Source organism: Homo sapiens, chromosome 13 (genome assembly GCF_000001405.40).
Source record: "Homo sapiens chromosome 13, GRCh38.p14 Primary Assembly".
Taxonomy (NCBI): Eukaryota; Metazoa; Chordata; class Mammalia; order Primates; family Hominidae; genus Homo; species Homo sapiens.
Window position 1 is genome coordinate 26,609,122 of NC_000013.11, and position 20,562 is coordinate 26,629,683.

At 39.4% G+C, this 20,562-nt stretch overlaps 1 protein-coding gene across 9 annotated transcripts in view; it reads left to right on the forward strand.

Annotated features, from left to right (window-relative positions):
• The window catches only part of WASF3 (WASP family member 3), a 149,810-nt gene that overhangs the window by 69,983 nt on the left and 59,265 nt on the right, over positions 1-20,562 (forward strand). For 7 of the 9 annotated variants that reach the window (XM_024449315.2, XM_047430060.1, XM_047430064.1 and 4 more), the window contains exon 2: positions 3,840-3,937. The gene's annotated coding sequence lies outside the window, so the exon portion shown is untranslated. Of the gene's footprint in view, positions 1-1,367; positions 1,526-3,839; positions 3,938-20,562 lie in introns of those variants that run through there. The other 2 variants (XM_011534889.3, XM_047430062.1) reach the window with 2 other exon arrangements.

Genomic DNA, 20,562 nt, shown 5'->3' on the forward strand with positions numbered 1-20,562 from the left:
ACAATGAGTCATTTAGATACAACCTGTTCTCAGGTTAAGTGTTTTCATGTAGCAGAATTCTTTATTTCATATTGATTTTGGATGTCGTGGATAAGTAAGATTAAAGGGCGTATTACTAGGGAAAATTTTATTATCATTGACCTTGTAAAATGCCCTATAGTACAGAATGAGGTATCATGAGATAAACTCTGTCATTTCTCTCATCAGACTACAGAGAAATGTAACCTGAATGTGAAGTGAGCTGCTGACAAGGTGAATGGTCTGAAAGTATTTGAAATTACCTGCACTCATATTGGCTGTCATAACGCTGCATGGTCCCCTCCTCCTCTTCCCCTCTTCTTTTTAGAAAAAGACTTTTTTTTTTTTTTTTTAACTAGGCAGTTATTTTTCCTGGCTTGACTTGTGGTCTGTGATTATTCTCTAAATTGTGACTTCCAGTGGTTTCATGATGTCATTTTTCTTTTCTTTTTTCCCTGAATGGTATAAATAATTTTTATTTAGTAGTAGTAGTTTAATACTTAGGCTTAGAGACAGCAGGATTATATTTTGTTGCTACCATATTGAGGTCATTATTTGGAACCTGAGTGAACAAGGATAAGTACATCTGTGATGGGATTTTAGCGGGGAGAGGTCCTTAAAGATTACCCAGTCTGTTCCTCTAGTCAGTGATTTGTTCATTTATTCAAATATTTGAGTGTCTATATGCTTTTCTTTGCAGTATTTCTTTTCCCAGATGTTGGTAATAACACCTTCAGTACAACTATCTCAAGCCAAAAATCTTAGAAGAGTACTGTCCAACCTAGTAGCCACTAGCCACATGTTACTATTTAAATGAACATTAGTTAAAATGAAGTAAAATATGGAGTTCCTCACTCACATTAGCACATTTCAAGCTGGATCCATGTGGCTGGAGGCTGCCCTCTGGGACACTGTCACTGTGTAGAACATTTCCATCACTGCGGGACATTCATTTGGACAGCACTACCTCAGAGCACTCCTTGACTCCAGGGGAGTCAGCATCCCCATCCCCATCCACTTAATCTTCCGAGACCTACGTCTGTCAGATTTGTTCCCTTTAAAGAATCCTCCCTTGTCTTAGTTTAGGTCTTCATCACCTGTCTTCTGAATTATGGCTTAAATTCAGTGACCAGCCTTGTGAAGCTGTCCCTGCCGTTGCCCCTCCAGCTGTAGCCACCTTCTCCCTTGTGCTCTGTGCATCCGCCATATACACCTGTCAGAGCACTGGCCCCACGGAATGCTACATGGTTGTTTACAGACTTTTCTTCTTGTGGACTGAGAGGTTCTTGGGAGTCCAGGGTTGGGCTTTGGTTTTACCAGGGGGAGGGGCAGGCACAGTGACTGACACATAACTACATATATATGTGTTTATTGAGCAGGTAGAGGCATGGATGGATGGAGGCCATAGCAGGTTGCAGTTTGAAGGCAAGAGACCTTTGGATACCTGGAAACTAGACGACAGGAGGGCATTTGTGACACAGGGAGTGTAACAGATGCAAGGCCAGAGGTAGGAAGTTACAGGGCAATTCTGCTTCTGGACAGTAGCCACAGGAGAGCACTGTCAGCACCATTCAGAGTGTAGCCATGTATGGAAATAGAATTGGAGTGATGGTGTTGCATAGAAGCATGCTTCCCTGTTCTGGCCAGTATTGCAGCTCGTAGTAGAGGTGCTGTGTTTCCACTTAGCAGCCTTAACCTGTGACTTCAAAGGAGTTACTGATATGCTCTCCATTGTCAAATGAGGCTACGTATTCACAAAGTCTAGTTAATTCTTCAAGACTTTTATGGTTCTTGACTTATGTTAGAAATGTTAGCAGCTCAGCAGCAAAGAAAAAGGCATGTGTCCGTGCCCAAAAGGAGACAATCCAATGTAGATATTACTTACTTACTCCTTTTTTTTTTTTTTTTTTTTGGTAGAGGTGGGGTTTTGCCGTGTTGCCCAAGCTGGTCTCAAACTCCTGGGCTCGTGATCTGCCTGCTTTAGCCTCCCAGAGTGCTGAGATTACAGGTGTGAGCCACACCGTGCCTGGCAAGAACAGTTGCTTTCTAGTCAGACTCATCCTGACTCTTCTTTTTCCTAGCTGTGTGATCCTAAAAAACTCACTTTTTGATCCTAATTTCTTCATTTTTAAATGGAGATATTACCTGCCTGTGAGGACTAAGTTAAATGTATATGACATGTTAGCTCTATGCTTAGACCTGAGTAAAACATTTACCAGTAATAGCTAATAACAAAAATAATAAGTCCATAGCCTTTCACACAAATGGGAAAATTCATAATTGTGTTTCACAAAGGAAGAGTTAACACGTGATTCTTAAACATAAATGGTCATCCAGAAAATACATAGGATGTTGGACATTTTCCTTGTCCTTAGGCATAGTTAGCTGGATATAACCATCTCTTAAGTGAAATGTATAGGGCTGGTTACCCTCAAAATCATCAAGTCGAATCAGCTGATCTAGTAGAGGTAAAATTAGGCCTGGGTAATCTAAACCCAGGGATAATTTTCTGTATTTGGAAATAAGGTGATCACTTATGCAGATTACTTAGGAAAAAGCTCACTTTTCTCTTTTACTCAGCATCAAGAGCATGCAGTACAGCTGCTCTGAAGGAAGAGAAGAAAATTGTGTGCTGCTTTAGTTTTAAATAAGTAAAATAGGATGTATAAAATGGAGTATCGCTGAATGATCATTCTATTTTTTTTTTTTGTACTGTTAAAAGGATGGTTGCGGTCTTAACTATGTGAGTTCTTAGAATCTACTGGCCTACATAGAATTCATGGGGGTCCAGATAATTCTTTTTAGTAGACTCAAAGTTGCTTTTCTTCCATAATGAAATGGCACAGTTATCTGTTTTCTCATGCCTGGACCTCCTTTCCCAAGCTTGATGCCTCCCACCCTTGTTTGACCTTCCTGAAGCTGCACCCCGCCCCACTTCTGGGCCGCTGTTCTCTCGCTTTCTTGCGTCTACCTTGTATTAAAATTATCTGCATTTATTTGTTACCCTCACAAGACTGAGTACCTTCACAAACAGGCATTTTCTTATTCATTTTTATGTGTTCAGTGTTTAAAGAGGGGCTGACTTCTACAAGATGCTTGGTACAGTCTTGCTGAGTGAATGGATGCATGTTCACTAAAATTTTCTTGTATGTATTCTTCCCAAGTAGACCATAATTCTGAGTAGGAAACCATGTCATGCTTCTTGTTACCTCATAGCTCTAGCACATTGGTATACAACATTGATCAGTTTGCTCTGTAGCATTGCTGTTAATGTCCAGTGTCCTGGAAACACCTTCTAGGGCGTATTTGGCAGTTATTAAATCTGTTACTATTTTATCCCTGTAGCTACTATTAGAATATTTATAAAATGATCTCCAAGACTTTTATTGAATTTGAATATTGTTATGGGAAAAATCGATACAAATGCTCTTATTAGCTACAGTTCTTATGTGAATGATTACTATTATTTGATTCAGTCTGTAGGCAGTAACAAAACCTAAAATATATGTGTTGTTGAGTAAATGAATTGAGCAGTTCAGTTGAATACACTTAGACTTGACTTTTTCTTTTTCTGCCCTTCAGCTATTATTTACTGTGAGTCCTTGAAGTTAATTTCAGAGGTTTTTCAGGATAGGGGGTTGGAATTATACAGGATTTCACACACCTTATTAGCTCCTTACTTAAAATAATTAAAAAAGAACTAGTTCAGGGATTAGAGCTCCCTTGAAATTGTTGAAATGTGAAATTTGAATTTAAGACTTTCTTGAAGACTTGAATGCATTTTGCCTACTGGTAATTAATTTTTTTTCTTTTCTTTGTAGTTTTAGTTTTGATTGCTGTTAACTACTACTGATAACTGAGCCAAAGTGGTGATGCTACTTGAGGGGAATTTCTGCAACCCATAGTCAACGATTACATGGTAAGAGTGTGTGCCTTTTACCCTTAAAGCCATTTAATTTCTGTAACATAGTTTAGAAATTTAATTAGAAATAGAAATAGCATAAAATATTCTAATATTTTTGAATATTAAATATTTAATATTAATATACTTTAATATATAAATATTAACAGCAGGTAATATTTTAGAGCTTTAGATCCTAATTAATAGTTTGGGACATTGAAAGAGAAAAAAAAACTTGATATATTCACTTCCATGTTAATTTTTTTGTGTGAAAAACATGATTATGTAGTTTATGACTTATTAAGCTGAGATCTCAGTCTTCTTACCTCTGTTTTTGCCCATTTACTTTTTATTTCCTGGAATTTAACCAATTCTTTGTTATCTGAATCTTTCTAGTAATGAATGGGTATGAGAAGTCAAGATTTAAAAACTTAAACCTAATCAGTTGGCCGGACACGGTGGCTCATGCCTGTAATCCCAGCATTTTGGGAGGCCGAGGTGGGTGGATCATGAGGTCAGGAGATCGCGACCATCCTGGCTAACACAGTGAAAGCCCATCTCTACTAAAAACACACAACAATTAGTCGGGTGTGGTGGCATGTGCCTGTAATTCCAGCTGCTTGGGAGGCTGAGGCCCGAGAATGGTGTGAACCCAGAAGGCGGAGCTTGCAGTGAGCCGAGATCGTGCCACTGCACTCCAGCCTGGCGACAGAGTGAGACTCCATCTCAAGAAAACCTCAAAAAACCAAAAGCAAACCTAGTCAGTTTTACAATAATTTACTCTGAACTGAGGTGGTGGTGATCGTGATAGTGGCTAAAATGAGGTTTTTGAATTATTTATGGATTTCAGTGACCTGTCTTACTCTAATTTTAAGGGGTAATTGAGGAGCAATGAGACATAGCAGACTAGTAGGGCAAGTTATTTCTTTGAGCTTCACTTTCCTCATATGCAGAATACTATCATCTGTCTTGCCTGATTTATGAAACTGTAAAAATCAAATGAGAGGATGTATATGGAATTTTCCTTTTCTTTCTTTCTTTTTTCTTTTGGAAGGATAGGGAGAGAATAACACGTCTTTTGGTTTTAAGATGATATTGAAAGAGAACATAAGGTAGAAGAAAGGCTATTATACCAGAATTAGAAGCTGGAAGATTGATCTCTAATCCTAGCTTGCCTTGACCTTGGGCATATCATTACATATTAATTTACCATAGGAAAATTGAACTTGATTTCCATACTTTCACTTTACAGGTAATTTTTCAGGAATGTATCTGTGTTCTCTGACCAAGTTTAATTAAGCTAGAAATCAGTATCACATACCCAAGAAATTCCAAAATATTTTGAAATTAATGATCACAGCCTGAAAATCCATGGTTAAAGAGGAGCTTACAAGGCAAAATACTTTGAATTGAATGAAAAGGAAAGCGTAACGTATCAAAATATATGCGATGCACCTAAAGCACTACTTTAAGGGGAAATTTATAGTGTTAAATGCTTATATTAGAAAATAAAAGTTAAATAGCTTTTGGGCTTTTCCTGTATGTCATGATGGGTTACAGGCTGATTGTAGTTCTGATAAATGGTTTCTTTCACTTCCTATCCAATTTATATGAAAAGGGGAGATAGTTAAATTTTTTTGTCAGGCAAGCATTTATTTTTTAACACGGATACTGTCTAGTATTTGTGTTCCACTTTATAGTTTTTGGGGGGCTTTCAGGTGTGTCATCTCACCACAGCCTTTTGAGATAACCAGGCAGATATTACTGCTTTCATATTTAGAATAAGGACTTGAGGCTTATGGAGGTCTCAGCTCTTGAAGAACTCGGGGCTTCTGCTTGCCACGCCATCTGCTTGTTTTGCTGCTGTGCTGCATTTCCAGGCTTTTTGTAGAAGCGCTGTCTGTGTTCAGACTGTTGTTGTAGGTGGCACACTCTGATTAGCTTGGTGAGGCAGATTCTGTTGGATGAGGGAATTCTCTAGGAGGAGTGCTTTTTCTTAGGCATTTCCGTTGGTGTTTGTATTATGCCCATCAGAGGTGGCCTTTTTTTAAGTACCGTTTTGGAGCTATGTCTATCTGGTTGCTAAATGTGTCTTTCCTGTCTCATTTCTTTTATCATGATATTTAGTCCTGTGTGTGGCTAACAGTCGACTTATTTTTACTTGACCTTCATGTTAGAATGTACATATTAAATAAATGTTCAGTGATCTCCTACTTTGTCATACTCAGATTATCTGTTGCCACAGATTTGTTTTTTTTGGTTTTTGTTTTTGTTTTGATTTTTTTTTGAGACGGAGTCTCGCTCTGTCACCAGGCTGGCAGGCAGTGGTATAATCTCGGCTCACTGCAACCTCTGACTCCCTGGTTCAAGCGATTCTCCTGCCTCAGCCTCCCGAGTAGCTGGGGTTACAGGCATGTGCCACCATGTCCAGCTAATTTTTGTATTTTTAATAGAGACAGGGTTTCACCATGTTGGCCAGGATGGTCTCGATCTCCTGACCTTGTGATCCCCCTGCCTCTGCCTCCCGAAGTGCTGGGATTACAAGTGTGAGCCACTGTGCCCAGCCCACAGATTCATTTTTAAACTGCTTTATTGTGGAATAATTGACATACAGTAAACTATGCTTATTTAAAATGTATAATTTGATAAGTTATTTGAAATATGTATACACCCATGATACCATCAATGTAGTTGAACTGGTGACCGTTGTTTCCTCATGGCCCTTGGTCATTTTTCCCTTTTGTTTCCCTCCTACCCTCACATAACGGCTGCTCTGCTTTCTGTCCCTATAGATAAGTTTATATTTCCTAGAATGTTATGTAAATGGAATAATACAGTATGTAGTATTTTCGTCTGGCTTTCATTCAGCATAGAGATTCATCTCTTGTTGTTGCATGTATCAGTAGTTCATTCCATGTTATCATTGAATAGTACCTCACTGTATGGATGTAATGCAGTTTGTTTGTCCATTCACCTGCTAATGGACACTTGGATTGTTTCTAGTTTTTGGCTGTTACAAATAAAGCTGCATGAACATTCATATACAAGTCTTTATGTGGGCACATGCTTTTATTTATTTTGGGTAAATATCTAGGAGTAGAATGGCTGGATCGTGTGATAAGTGTATGTTTAACTTTTTAAGAAACTTGCAAACCATTTTCCAAAGATTATTTTGTTTCTCTTGAGCAGTGGATGATAGTTCCAGTTCATCCATGTTCTCATAAGCACTCTGTATGAACAGTCTTTTTAAGTTTAGCCATTCTCATCAGTGTGCAGTCATATCTCCTGCGGTTTTAATTTGCCTCTCCTTAATGACTAATGCTGTTGAGCATTTTTCATGTGCTTGCTTGCCATCTGCATAACTTCTTTAGTGAAGTGTCTGTTCAAATCTTGTGCCCATTTTAAGAAATTGGGTACTTTATTATAGATTTTCAAGAATTCTTTATATATTCTGTATCAGATCTTTATCAGATATATGATTTGTAGTTTTATTCATTTTAATAGCATTTTTTTTCCTTTTTACCCCAGAATGAAATTTTTGGGAGCCAATATGGGATTATTTTTTGGTTTTATTTTTTGCACTTTCCCCAACTCCCATAAAAGTAGTTACTCTTTGTCATCTTCCTTTTCTTCCATTTTCTGGCAGGGCACTTAGTTTGTATTCTCTTTTTGGGGGGCTGTACATGAGTCAATAGCTGTGCAGGACAGAAGACCCCTAATTAGTGAATATGTTTGCATGGCTGGGATGGTCAGCTCTTTATTTCTGGAGGTTGGAGATCTGCCATTCCAATTGTCATCAGTATTGACTCGTTGTCCCTGGGGTGTAGTCAAAGGCCTCACCTGAAGTACTACAAGGTCAGAAGCCAGAACAGGGCCAGATTCAGATTCAATGATGAAAATGCTGGCGACAATTCACCAACATCCCTTGATTTTTACATGTTCATTTCTGATTGAATTGTATTGTGCTTACTGTGTGATTGTAATTTTCTGTGTGATTGCAGTTAACTTTTTTGTGTGACCTAATTCATAGCTTTTTTTCTTACAACTTTTCCGTGTTTTCTTTTTTAAATATGCATTCTCACATCTATGTATAACATTTTTAAAAACTATCAATTAACACTTGTTAATTGTATTATTCAAATCTTGGTCTTTGTTGGTTTCTGAGAAAAGTATGTTGGGTCTTCTACAAAAGGATAATAAAAGTTCATAATTGTCATTTTTAGTGTTTTTTTTTTACCAATTGAATATGATAAGTGTCTTCCCCTCCATCTGTTTTTGTTGCGTTCACCTTGAGTTTCTCTTGTGTCTTAGAGCCTGACTCCCTTTTGTTGTTAGCATTTGCCTGGTGTATATTTTTAATCTCTTTATTTTTATCACTCCTAGTTATTTCATTTTAGATGTATTCTTGAATATTTATCTTACAAAACCCAAACAACTCAGTGTGTTGCTGCTTTGTTCAGTGGAGGCTGTTTGGTGAGTGGTAAGGACATGGACTGAGTCCAGGCTGCCTGGGGTTGAATTCAGGCACTGCATAAACTGGCTGTGTGGTGTCTGTCAAGTTTACTTAAATATTAGTGCCTGTTTCTTCCCTATACAATGGAAATATTAATAGTTTCTATCTCATTTTATAAGAATTAAATGAGCTAATATATGTAAAATTCTTGACAGTGCATGGCACATTCTATAAGTGGTTTGGCTGTGTTCCCACCCAAAATCTCATGTTGAGTTGTAGTCCCCATAATCCCTACGTGTCAAGGGAGAGACCAGGTGGAGGTAATTGAATCATGGGGGCAGTCTCCCCCATGATGTTCTTGTGATAGTGAATTCTCATGAGATCTGATGATTTTTTAAGTGTTTGGTAGTTCCTCCTGCATTCATTCTCCCTCCGGCTGCCTTGTGAAGAAGGTGCCTTGCTTCCCCTTTGCCCTCCGCCATGTTGGTAAGTTTCCTGAGGCCTCCCCAGCCACGTGAAACTGTGATTCAATTAAACCTCTTTCCCTTCTAAATTACCCAGTCTTGGGAGTATCTTTTTAGCAGTGTGAAAACAGACGAATATGAAGTCTTAGCCATTAATAGTGAGTTCACCCATTAACACTTACTGTGATTATTTGGAAGGCCATAGTCACTATTAGTGCCTCCTTTTTGTTAAAAAAATTAATACTTTCTTGTCCATTGCTGACTTTATTACAATTTTTTCCTGTAATGGTTTGTTATTTATATATCCAGTATCTTCTAGTTGTTTGTACGAAATCAAAATATTGATCATGCAGATAACACCTGAATATATACGTCTTTTAAAAACTTGCAACACATTTGCAATTAAAGTACCTTTTGAGTCTCAGCTCTGTTCCTCCTCCCTTAGAATAATAAATTCATTATTATGAATTTGAGACATTTCCTTCTCTGACACACACTCTCTCGCTCTCTCTCTCTCCCCACCGTCTCCCCCACCTCCGCCCCCCCGTCTCTTTCATACATGTAGGACTACATAGTACTTTTTACTAAATGGCATACTGTAATTATGAACTTTGTATTTTTCATTCACTGCTATGTTTTGGAGGACACTCCATATATATATTTATCTTGTTTCTTTTAACAGCTGCCTTTCCCCTATTGGTAGTCATTTCCAGTTTATCTCTATGTCAAACAGTGCTGCTGTGAACATTCTTGTACATGAATTCTGTGCACAAGTGAGAATGTTTCTCAGAATAAGAGATGGAAATGCTAGGGTCCATAGTATGCATATTCCTAGTTTTATTAGATATAATTCTTTCAAAGGACAATTTGATGGTTGGCTGCCATTTGTATTTCTCTGGTGTAAATTGCCAAGATCTTTTCATTGTGGTTCTCCAACCACACATCTCGTGGCCACAGTCCTTCCTGTCATATTTTTGGCTTGTGGTTTCTTCCTTTAATCTCATCCCGTTGCCTTTCAACTTTGGAGGTTATCTATCATTTGTAGTCCTGTAGTATTGTTGCACATATTTTAAATGTACATCTTTTTCATCATTTCTGTGGGTTTGAAACAAAGGAGAAGCCTAGTCTAGGTGCTCTGTTTATTATATTCTATTTCTATAATCTTCCATTTCAAATTATATAATTTTTGAAAGGATTTCCTATGAATGAGCTAAGGTTATGCACATACATGCCATACACAACCTGCTTATAAGTGTCTCATTTTAATGGAGAAATATGCTTAGCATATGCTGCAGCCTTAAATGGAAAGTAGATTACATTTAATCCCAAATCAAGGAAATGGAGATTGTTGTTCTTCCTTGTCTGAAATGTCACCTTAAACTGCTGTTTTCCTTAGTTTACCCACAGCAGCATTTCTGTAAGTCTCCTTGGAGGCTGGGTATATATTCTAGTCTTATGCACACAGCTTCCTGGCAGACATCAAATGGAATTTGACTTACCAGATGTCGTACTGAATCATGGTCTGCAGAGATGCGGATGGATCACATCCTTGGCTGGGGAAGTGGGGTGGATACAAATATCTGGGTCAACTCAGTGGTTAACCAAAGGTTAGTCATGTTATAAAAAGTCATGTATATCAAAAATACAAAACAGAGTAAGATAGGGGGTCTGAAGCTTATGCATGCAATCAGCAACAAGGCAGTGTCAGGAGTTGAAGGACCAGACAAAACCATCTGTTTAATAAGATAATAAAATCTGATATAAAAGGAACCTTGGAAATGTAAACCACCTCCTTCCTTTTTGGTCAGAGCTGACTCTTAATGACAAATGATCAGGTGCTTAGAGGGTTAAGAATGGGGAGGGACCTGCTGGGATAGAGGGAAAGAGAATGAATAGAAGCATCATATTAGAAGTCAAGGATTACTTGAATACCAAAGCAGACAACTTTCCCCTCCTTGGCTGCCTTTTTATCCTGGTAAGACACAGAAATGAAGTAGCCTTGGCTTACTGGCATATTTATAATTGGGACCTGTAGGAAGCGTTTACAATGGGGATGTGGTGGGCAGAGCACCAGTGGAAGTGAGAGACCGAGATTCTAGTGTCTACTCCAGGATGTAGGAGATTTTGGGTCTCTTTGTCTTAATCTTTGATTGTAAAATAAAGTTATGCTAGATCTCCAAGGTTCCATTTATCTTAAAATTTTTTTTATTAAGTAGCTGATTTTGTCTGGCTGATCAAAACAGGGAAGAAAAATAGTTCCTGGTCAAAGCATCTCGGAGGTTCCTGGGTTAATAATGTGCATCAGAATAAATTTTTATGCACAATAAAGGACTATAAAACAGATGTAGGTTCAAATATTAAATGTATTCTTGAATCCCACATGTTCTGAGTATCTAGTTAAATGAACACCATGGTCTAAAAGGACTTAGAAATAAAATATGGGTATATTTTAAAAATATTTTTTATCTAATAGGAATTTAGTGATTTATTTAACTTTAAAAAGTCTGAATTAAATGAACATAACACAGAGCATAAAGATTAATTGAAGCATAGATATGTAGAGCGTGGCAAGTTGTAGAACAGCAGCTTTTTTCAGAGCTCCCTTTACCCTGTCCATGGCTAGAAGAGAAAGGCAGGGAGACCAAAGGCTTGATCTTCACAGGCTCCCACACCACTTCTGTATCCCCACCCATGATACGTTGTTCTTCACTTTTACTCCGAGATTTCTTCCCACAACAGAGAAACTGCAAGACAGGAGCTAATGGTGAAAACCCTGGTGGAGAGAAATCTTGACCTAGACTTCAAATCCCTACCTTTTCAGTTAGAACCATATTAGCTTCTACCTGGAGGATCTTTATATGCCATTTTGTGGCCCTTGAAAGACAAACTGTGTCCCAGAATGTCCTCTAAAAATAGGTACTTGACAAGGTTTTTCATTACATTATTCCATAGACACAAAGTTGCCTTTTTCTGGGAGACTTATTATTTAGTTGTTGAGGCTGTATAGCAAAAGCTAAGTGACGTTTTAAAATGGTGGAATGCTGCTTCTAAGCCTTGAGTGAGAGCTTCACTCTTCCATCCTCAAACGTCTGTTGAATAGCTTCCCGATGCTGAGCAGGATGCTGGGGGGTCTGTGATGCCGTGTCATCTCCCATTCCCCACTGAGAATGGAGTATTTCTAGTTGCGTTTTAATTTCCAGGAATGAGACATACCTTTAATGTAGTGCTTATCACACTGTGTTGTAACTTTATTTATATGCCTGTCTCTGCCACTAAACCATTAGCATCTTGAGGAATGGGGTTTGTTTTATTTTCGTTTGTTCAGTTTTTGCATTTCCACTAGCTAAAGCATCATGAAAACACACTGAATGTTTGGAGAGTAGGTGAATCTGATATGGTAGTTTCTGAAAGCCAGCTGAATGTCTAACTGAAAAGGAAAGTATGCCAGAGCTGGAGGGAACCCAAGAGAGCAAATCTGTTCTGCAGGAGAAGAAACTGAGGCCCACCCTGATGAAGAAACTGAGGCCCACCCTGATGAAGAAACTTGCACAGAGTCGTGTAGTGTTAGTGGCAGAACTTGGACTAGAACCCCAGTTCCCCAATTCCTAGTCCTTTGCTGCTTCACTGTACCTCTCTGTCTCCCATCCTGTGGAAACATACAGACCACATTTCAAAGAGCAAAGTGTGAACATTTGTCCCAGTGAAATGAGGTTGATTGAATTTTATGTGGTCTTTCTTCCTTCCCTCCCCCTAAATCACAACTTTTAATAAAGCTTTAAAAAGAAGCAGTGTGGCTCTAGAAGGCAGTGTGCGAAGTGAGGAGTTTAGGAAGCTGAGGCCCTTCCTTTGGCGGTGGGAATGTTATGTTAGTGAGTATCTTTTGGGAGTTGTCAGTAGGCACTTAACTCCAAGCAGAGTGCTGTAAAGTGGAGGCAGGCAGACATAGCCCTTGTCCTTCAAAATGAGAAGGCCACACTGAGGGGAAAGGTCAGAGGAAGGGCTTGGGCCAGCATTGTGTCACTCTACTCTATGGGCCCTGGCTACTTTTGCTTGGGTCACTTTCATTCCGAGGGCAAAACTCATACATACAAGTAAAACATGGTTAAAAAGCCCAACATCTGCAGTATACACACATTTAGTTTTGTGTGTATAATATAGTCTGTGCCACATGTTTTAGTGCTATCATGCACTGTGCTCTAATTACCTGGCATGCAGCAATCAGAGCAAAGGTTACCAGCACATAGAAGAGAGAATCATTAACACTGTCAGGTTCTGCAAACTGGTTGTTCTGAAAGCTCAAAGGTCAGTCTTTAATGGCTGCATAGTGGAGAAAGAAATCCACTACAAAATCTATTCAGTTAATTTTGTATAGTCAACTACCTCTACCTACCAGTAATATCGTTTTAAAATATGTAATAAAGACTTAATGCAGTTAACATGTTACTCTACATCCCATGAACCCTTACTGCGGTGGAGAATGACCACAGTTGTGGGCTTCAGTTTATTTGCCCCATTACAGTGTATTCTATGCATGAAAGCTGTTATCCATGTTAATAGAGTAGTGGTGGTGTTCTTTTCTTTCCAGAATAGTCTGCTCTCTTTGGGGTCTGCACACATAAATTCTTAAGAGTGTACTCATATGTTCACTCATTGAGAATATCAGTTTACTTAGCTGGACGTGGTGGTGGGTGCTTGTAATCCCAGCTACTCGGGAAACTGAGGAAGAAGAATCACTTGAACCCGGGAGATGGAGGTTGCAGTGAGCCAAGATCGCACCAGTGCACTGCAGCTTGGGAGACAAAGCGAGACTCCGTCTCAAAAAAAAAAAAATCTGTTTACTGTTTCTTTCTTTTTTTGTGAAAATAGTTATCAGCTCAATGTCTTAACAAAAGAAGAAGCTGATATGTTACCCTTGTTCTTACTGTGAAGGTGGAGTTTCTCTTCCAATTAGGATATAAGAGAACATTGCTTCTATTTTAAGAAACAAAAAAGGCCAGATTATCTAGAAAGCAATAACTTTTCTTAAATCCCAAAGGGTGACAAACCCATCTGAGAGTAGACAGGACACTTGAACTGTTTCACATTTAGCAGAGCACAGGGGGAACAGGTAACCATCATAGAAGTGCATAAGAAGAATTCAGCAAAAATTGTAATGCATTCTTAAGGTTGAGTATGGGCTAATGCATCAGTTTAGGATAACCAGGTACCCCAGATACAAGGGGAAGGTTACACTTACTCATAAGCTGTTTTCTACAGCCCTCCACTGGGTACTCTTAAGAAAGCTTATGAGCAAGCCTGGAGACTAGACAGAACCTCTTTTGATCGTGCTGCTCTGCGGGAGGTAATCTCAGCTGCCACTGGGAGACAGGCATGATGTAACACCTGCTTCCCCACAGCCTTCTCTCCTATGACAGAGTTCCCAGGAGGGCAATGAAACCTCTAGCCCATAGGACTCAGCAAAGATCTATTTCTGGCAGAGGTTTAGGAAACCCTCTTTCCTGCCCTGTGACCAGCAAGATCCTCTGCTTCTGGGACGAAGGGTAATTAATAGCAAAAGCAGGACAGACTCTTAGGCTCATAATCTTTCACTGATGCAAAGCAAAGTTCTCTTTCTGCTGCATGAGGGACAGGAACTCTTTCATGCCCAAGACAGGGACAAATATCAGGCAGAGTTTAGTTGTGTTGGAGAAGAGATGCACAGATCCTGAGAAGGCCCCACTCTGAGGTCCAGGTATATGGATCATTCCTAAAATTTAGGCTGGGCCAGGGAGAGCAAGGAGCCTAGCACCTGGTAACGTAGCAATAACAGTCATCTCTGGAGAGCAAGAATGTAAAGAGGAATTTGTGTCACCTTTGTGACATAAATGTCAAGGAACTACAGGATGATCAGGAACACTGAAAAAAGTCTAGCACACTAGGCACAAGACAGCAGCCCATGGCTAGGGGATTTTGATGCTTGGTGTATCAGATAACAATAGCAGCCATCTCCCTCAAACCCTGACTAGGTTGACTCAATCAACCTTAGTAATGGCTTGCTAGAAGAACATGTGAATTCATTGCTGGACAAGAAATACTGTTTACTTAGTCTCTACTGCTTTGCAAATGATATCCAGCATTCAGCACAAAATTATGAGACAAAAAAGGCAAGAAAGAATGACGTGTTGTAAATCAAGAGATAAAGCAATCAGCAATCAATGGAAACAGACTCAGAGATAACTTAGATATGGGAACTTAAAAATAACTGTGATTAATGTATTGAAAAATGTATTGAGAAAAGTCTATATCAACAGAAATAAGGAAACAAGTTTTTAAGAGTTAAATGGAAACTGTTGGAAATGTAAAAACAAATTGGGTTTATTAGCAAACTGGATGTAGCTGAGAAAATAATGAAAGCTAAATCAGCAGAATATAAAAAGGAACAGTGAAACAAAAGAAGAAACAAGGAAAGAGGAAAGTGGAGTGGGGAAGGGGAGGGATGACAAAACCGAGCATCTAAGAACTATGGAACAGTATCAGTAGTCTAACACACATGTAATTGGAAACCCAGAAGGAAAAGAGAAGATACTGTCCAGAAAAAAATACTAGAAGGCACAGTTGCTGAGAATTATCCCAAATTAATGAAAGACAGGAAACAACTAATAAGACAAACAGATCCAAGAATCTCAGAGAACCCCAAGCAGGATTTTTTTTTTTAAGAACCCTCCAAGTTCTAGAAACACTGGAATCAAGTTGCTGAAATACCCAAGGTAAAGGGGAAAGTCTTGCAGGCAGCCATAGTTTAAAGAAAATGAAACATTACAAACAGAGGAACAAGGGTAAGAATAACAGCAGACTTCTTGTCAGAGACTATGAAAGTCATTAAGACAGTGAAATAACATTTTTAAAGTATCAAGAGAAAAAGCTCAAATCCTGTCGATGCATAATTCTATACCCAGCAAAAATATATTTTTAAATTAAAGGCCAAATAAAGAATGTTTCAGACAAACAAAAGCTGAGGGAATTTATTGCCACAGATCTGCACTGTAAGAAATGAAAGGAAGTTCTTGGGCAGAAGGGGCATCAGATGGCGGTTGGGATCTAAACAAAGAAATGAAGAGACCCTGAAATGGTAAAAGAGAATAAATATGTTATATTTTTTCTTATTTTTAATTACATTAATTGATAATTGTCCAGAGCAAAAACAATAGTAATGTGGGGTTTATAAGAGGTAAAATATATGACAACATTGGACAAAGCATGGAAGAAGAAAATGGAAATATACTGTTTATATTAGGGGGTCTCCAGAGAAATAGAACATATAGGATATATAGATTTATGAGGAGATTTATTATGGAATTTGGCTCACACAATTATGGAGGCTGAGAAGTCCCACAATCTGCTGTCTACAAACTGGGGACCCAGGAAAGCCAGTGGTGTAATTCATTGTGCCTAGCTGATGGTATAACTCCCAGTCCATTGCCAAAGACTCGAGGACCTGGGATTGGGAAGGTGGTGCAGGTGTAAGCTTTGGAGTCTGAAAGCCTGAGAACCAGGAGCTCCAATGTCTGAGGGCAGGAGAAGATGGATGTCCCAACTTAAGAAGAGAGAGAGAGAGAGAAAATTCATCCTTCCTCCACTCTTTTGTTCTGTTCAGGTTCTCAGTGGATTGGATGATGCCCACCCACCTTGGTGAGGGTGGATCTTTTTTTACTCAGTCCACTGATTCTAGTGCTGATGTCTTTCAGAAGCACCCTCTCACAGACTCACCCAGAGATAATGTTTCAGCAGCTCTGGGTATCTCCTAGCCCAGTCAGCTTGACACATAAAATGAACCATTACATTATTCTAAAGTTACAGTGTTCTCACACTATGCATGAAGTTGTTCAGTATTATTCGAAGGTAGGTGTGATAAGCTAAAAATGTATATATCTATAGTAAGCTCTAGAGCAACTACTATGAAAAACGTAAAAAGAATAAAAACCAGTTGTGGAGATGAAATGACATCATAACAAATAACTGAAAGAAAGCAGAAAAAGAGCTTTTGGACCAAAGAACAGGTGGGACAAATAGAAAACCACTAGCAGGATGTGTTAAAGAAAAAATTATTTAATAAGACTTGTTAAAGCATGGTAAAGACTTTTATTCAGGACCATTGCAGAAGGTAGAGGAGCCACTGCAACAGCATCTTGCAGTAGGGGAGAGAGATTGGGTTCAACTCTGAATACAGCATGGGCAAGTGGGGACTTATAGCCAAGGATCAGTGAGAGGGTCAGTGGATGGAAAAGTACTAAGAGGAGGACGTCAGGGGTTAGGAGAATTCTGGCTGACGCCTAAGAGGATTCTTGCTGAAGATAGCCAGGGTGATGCGATGTCATCTGGGGGATGGTGGACAGTTAGGAACCTGATGAGATATTGAGGATAAACAAATTTTGAGGATGGCAAGGAATGTTCTTGCTAAACACATTTAGCAGGGGTCTTTGCTAGAAACTGAATTTTACAAAGAAGGTGCACAGATGGGCCTAGCAGAAGGTTCAGAAGCCTGACTGAAGTTTGGCCAAGCAAAGAATCTTTGTCAGATGGAAGGTTTAAATTCAGCCACATCAACAATTACATTGAATGTAAATGATCTAAACACCCTAGTTAAAAGTCAGAGATTGTAAAATTGGATAAAAAAGCAACACAACCGTATGCTCTCCAAAATAAATTCTCTTTAAATACATAGAAACAGAAAGGTTAAAATTAGAAGGAAAAACTTGTAAACACTAATCAAAATAAGGAATGACCGTTATATCAAAGTAGACTTTGGAACAAAGATTATTATTAGGGGTAAATGGGACATTACATAATGATAATGGGATCATTTCCCCAAGAAGACTTAATAATCTTAAATATGTGGCTACATTCAACAACAGATCTTTAAAATACAGAAACAAAAACTGATAGAACTCAGGGGAGAAGTTGACAAATACACAATTATTGTTGACGTCTTCAACAACTCCTCTCTGAGGACAGTAGGAAGTAAAATTCGCTACCCAGTTTGCTGTAAACACATATAAATGCTGAATAGAGTATAACCAAGAAAGTAGAAAGTAGAAAGCACATTGATATGATTTTGAAATTCTTTAATCATTTGGCTTTAATTGGAAGAGTACCAATTGGAGAAGTTCAGTGCCAGTATTCAGGCATTTAATTGTACAACATGTAAAATTAGAGGAGAAATTTAGGTTTAGATTAATTGCATGAGAAATAAAATTAGAGGACAAATGTTAGTATCTTATTTTGGTAATATAAAATTAATTAAAATTATATTACTATCAACATCTTATACTATACTTTTTTTTTTATTTTCATGTGAGCCTCTCAACAACCTGTAAGGCAGGCAGGGAAGGTGTAACTAGTATTACTGCACAGGGACTCATGGAGTTATTTTGATAGGGTAATATATAAAATCAGAGGTGGGGTGTACATTTATTGCTGTGCATGCAACATTGTCTACCCCATTTCCTGTAACTAATATCCTCAATATCTATCTGGTTCTTTGTTTTGGTTTTTCACCTATACCTAGTCAAAGTTTATATGTGTCACTGTTTATTCATTCAGAATACATTTGAGGATACATTGGGGTGGGCTGGGGGGACGTGAAATGTGGTAGGTGTTGTAGTAATGAAGGGACAATTAAAACGAAGGCTAAGAATTCTTAAGAGAATCCTCGCAAATGGCAGTAGGAAGTAAAATTAGCTACCCAAGTTGCTATAAACACATACAAATGTTGGATAGAGTATAACCAAGTATGTGTGTATGCACTTATATATGTATATATTTATATTTAAAATAGATATACCTAATGCTAGATGACGAGTTAGTGGGTGCAGCACACCAGCATGGAACATGTATACATATGTAACTAACCTGCACAATGTGCACATGTACCCTAAAACTTAAAGTATAATAATAAAGAAAAAAAAACCCTAAAAATAAAATAAAATAAAATATATATGTATTTTAAAACATTGCCATGCTTGAACGAATCAGCAATCTTCCCTAGGTGTTAGGAGCTGAGAGAGTTGGAGGGAAGATGCTTAGAGCTAGAGGCCAGGGTTTAATGCTGCCCGTACATGGAAATGTGTTTCAGGCCAACCTGATGGAATGAGCTAGAACTGAGACCTCAGAATAAATGCTGGGATGTTCAAAGGGCTGTCAAATCCCGTAAAAGTTGGGTAGAAAACCTGCGCTCGCCAATCCTGAGAAATAGCTTGCCATCTGCCTGGGGCTCCAAATAGTAAGAAAACAAAACAAACAAATGTGTTAGGGAGAAATTAGAACCACAGTCTTGGCCAGGGGCACAGCAAAAGAAAACATAAAATTGTTCTACAAGGAAACTTTTCTAAAACAAGGTGCAGAGAACAACCCCCTACCCCCACCATGAGAAAGAGTTTGCAGTAAGAGGTTAGACACACTAGCAAGTGTCAGCAGGTGCTGCACATGTGTGAGGGCACATGCACACAGAGAATTAGCACAGCAAGTATGAATTAAGGTAGGTAATTAAGCTACCTGGCTCCTCCCAGGAGGAGATGCCAAGGTAGGATTACAAGTTCAAGGATCCTGAATGGATCACCTGGGTTCCTTCCTGCCTCCTTTGCATGAACACAGTCTTACCTCTTCCTGCTGGCTGGAGTCAGTTTCCTCTGCCAGTACGGAGATTCCTCTTTTCATTTTCTATTCCATGGTAACATGAGTCCAAAGTACCGTGGTGGCATCCAGAACTTGCAGTTCAGTGGGATCTTTGCCTTGTTCCTGCTAAGTGTGTGCCCCATTTCAGACCCCCAGCCCTGCAGTGTCCACTGGTGCAGAATGGGAAGCACAAAGTTCCCCTGGGCTGTTGGTGGTGATCATTAAGTAGGGCTTTTCTTGCCTCCAGCCCTAGGCGCCTAAGCCCACATGTCCTCCTCCTTGGGATCCCACTGCCATCTAGAGGCCTCTGATGTATAAGTGTACTGTGTTGTGGAGTATGACCATCCTTTCAGAGTGTCTGGCAAGCTTGTGCTTCAGTGTGCCTTGAAAAGGCTGGCCCAGCGTTCATTGGGATGGACCCGCGTTGGGTGGTTTGATATGTGATGTGACCATTGGATCCTGTCGATGGGCCCACGCTCGACGTCCTTCACTGTAAAGTGGGTCCCCTCGTCAGATGCGATGATGTGTGGGGTCCATCAGGCTGATAATTCTGGGTGGACTTATCGATGATGCAGGCTGGCGGATTTTGCCTGCTTTGTGTTCAGTGTCTCTTTGGTGGGAAACTTTCCAGTGGAGGTTAACAAGTGATACAGAAATCTTCACCCTGTGCCCACTCCCGAATTTCTACCCACATGGCCTTTATCCAGATCTCCTTGTTCCTCATCTTCCAGTTCTTTTTATTTCAGTACCTTGACCATACAACCAGGCTGTTGGCCACTGCCCACACATCTGCACGCATTTCAGATCAAGCTACGCGGTGTCATGAACTGGTGTCCTGCCCACAGCTCCACCTGCTGGGAAGATTTTCCTTTCCACTGTCTCTGAGGGCCATCCTGAGTACTGCTGCAGCACACACAGTCCATTTTTGACTAACACCATGTGCTGAGCTGATCCGTCTGAAAAACCAAGCTCAGGCTTTCCTTCCTCCTTCCCCTGGATGTATGAGTCTGCTGCCTGTGTAACCTAGGCACACAGGGGAGGGGCACTACAGCTCTTGGGGGTGACTTGGAGGTCTG